Source organism: Homo sapiens, chromosome 4, assembly GCF_000001405.40.
Source record: "Homo sapiens chromosome 4, GRCh38.p14 Primary Assembly".
Lineage (NCBI taxonomy): Eukaryota > Metazoa > Chordata > Mammalia > Primates > Hominidae > Homo > Homo sapiens.
In genome coordinates, this window is record NC_000004.12 from 3,712,665 (window position 1) to 3,714,928 (window position 2,264).

Here is a 2,264-nt window from a genome sequence, read left to right on the forward strand (position 1 = left end):
AGCCTGCGGCAGCCTCATCCAATCCACTGGGGCCCTCGGAGCAAACTCTGAGCCTACGTGGAGGAAGCAGGAATTCTGCCTGGAGACTGTGGTGGAGAAGCCCTGCCTGGGTCTGCAGCCTGATCCGCAGGGGGATCTTGCCAGCCCCCACAACTGCGTGGGCTGATTCCCTAAAATACATGTCTCAACATGGACCTCTCTCCCATCAGCTGTTTCTCAGTGGAGAATGCTGACTGGCACATCAGCCGGGACCTCTCACAGTTGTGGGCCCTGTGACCCTCACCTTGCTCCCATCATCCTGTCCAGCCGCCCACTCCTCCCCCTCTGCCCCGGCCAGTCCCCACACCCAAGCGGAGTTCCAAGACGGTCCCAGCAGCACTGCCCGCTGCTGCCTCTGAGAGCACAGCCACTGCGGGGCCAGCGCAGCCACTGAGGCGATTAGAGTAGGGCAGGCCCAGAAGGCCAGAGTCGCCTGGTCACGGGGGCCACAAGACTTGGGGCAGAGGTCGAGAGTACAGGCCTTGGAGCTGGCCCCCGCCCAGGTTCAAACCCCGGCTCGGTCGCTTGCTATCTGCATGGCTTCCAGCACGTTCCCTCAGTCCTCTGTGTGCCCCTATAAACTACAGACGAGTGTCGCGGCGGCTACAAGCCAAGTGCCCAGAGCTGTGGCTGGTGTGTGGTATGTGTGTCCCAGGAATCTCAGGGCTGCAATGATCACTGTGCAAAGTCCCACTGAGCCGGGTTCAAAGCCCACACGCCCCTCACTCCCTGTATTCAGGGCTCTCAGGAAATAGAACCAATAGGACGGATATGTATAGAGAGATAGCAAGAGATTGATTGTCAGGAATGGGCTCACTGGACCCTGGAGGTGGACAAGCCCTGAGATCTGCAGGTGGCAAGCTGGAGACCCGGGAGAGCCAACGGTGCAGTTCTAGCCTGGAAGCTGGCAGGCTGGAGACTTAAACCCAGGAGGGGCTAATGGTTCAGTGCAGGCTGGAAGGCCAGCGAAAAACCAGCTCAGCCGTCAGGCAGCAGGAGCTCCCCTTACTCAGCCTTTCTGCTCTATTTGGGCCTTCAACTGATTGGCCGAGGCCAATCTGCTCTCCCACACTGGCGAGGGCCATCTGCTTGACTCAGTTTGCCCATTCAAATGTGAATCCCGTCCAGGGGCACCTCACAGACACCGCCAGAGTCATGTTGGACCAAATATCTGGACACATTGTGGCTCAATCAAGTTGACACGTAAAATTCACCACCACGTTCACAAACCCAAATTGAGAGCCGCTGCCGCCGCTGTGGGCCTCACTCTGCAGTGTTGCCTCAGTTTCCCTGGCTGCACAGTGAAGGGCACGCTGTGTGACTCCAGCACAAACCCCAGCACCCCTGGGATCAGCAAATGGCAGGAATGACTGCTCCAGCAGTGAGAGCTGAGGCCGGGGTCACAGCAAACCATGGACACAGACCCTGCTTGGACTGCCATGGCACTACCCCAGGCTCTGCCCAGCTCCTTCCCTATTCTGTGCTGCCTGGGCCTGTCCAGCAGTCTCGGTGTGTGTCGTGTCTGTGGGGTGTATGTGTGTGTCTGTGTGTGTGTGCATGTGTGTTTGCATGTGTCATGTCTGTGGAGGGTATGTGTGTGTGCATATGTGCGATGTGTGGATGTGTGGATGTGTGTGTGTGTCTGCATGTGTCTCTCTGTGTGTGTGCATGTGTGTTTGTGAGTGTGTGCCATGTCTGTGGAGGGTGTGTGTGCATGTGTGTGATGCATGGGTGTGTGTGTGTCTCTGTGTGTATCTGCATGTGTCTGTGTGTGTGTGTGCATGTGTGTTCGTGTGTGTCATGTCTGTGGAGGGTGTGTGTGTGCATGTGTGTGATGTGTGGGTGTGTGTGTATCTCTGCATGTGTCTCTGTGTGTGTGTGCATGTGTGTGGGTGTATGTTATGTCTGTGAAGGGTGTGTGTGTGCATGTGTGTGATGCGTGGATGTGTGTATGTCTCTGTATCTCTGTATGTGTCTCTGTATGTGTGTGTGCATGTGTGTTTGTGAGTGTATGTCATGTCTGTGGAGGGTGTGTGTGTGTGTGTATGTGTGATGTGTGGATGTGTGTGTCTCTGTGTGTGTGTGTGCATGTGTGTGTGTCGTGTCTGTGGAGGGTGTGTGTGTACGTGTGATGTGTGGATGTGTATGTGTCTCTGTGTGTGTGTGCCTGTGTGTGTGTCATGTCTGTGGAGGGTGTGTGTGTGTGTATGTGTCTCTGTGTGTGT

The 2,264-nt window shown here is 56.0% G+C and overlaps 2 annotated features.

The window, feature by feature from the left end:
- Positions 886 to 1,387: an enhancer, noted in NCBI's record as "H3K4me1 hESC enhancer chr4:3715277-3715778 (GRCh37/hg19 assembly coordinates)". NCBI's record gives its function as "activates a minimal SCP1, AML or CMV promoter by ChIP-STARR-seq in primed H9 embryonic stem cells {active_cell/tissue: H9 hESC(primed)}" and the evidence as "EXISTENCE:reporter gene assay evidence [ECO:0000049][PMID:30033119]".
- Positions 1,388 to 1,887: an enhancer, noted in NCBI's record as "H3K4me1 hESC enhancer chr4:3715779-3716278 (GRCh37/hg19 assembly coordinates)". NCBI's record gives its function as "activates a minimal SCP1, AML or CMV promoter by ChIP-STARR-seq in primed H9 embryonic stem cells {active_cell/tissue: H9 hESC(primed)}" and the evidence as "EXISTENCE:reporter gene assay evidence [ECO:0000049][PMID:30033119]".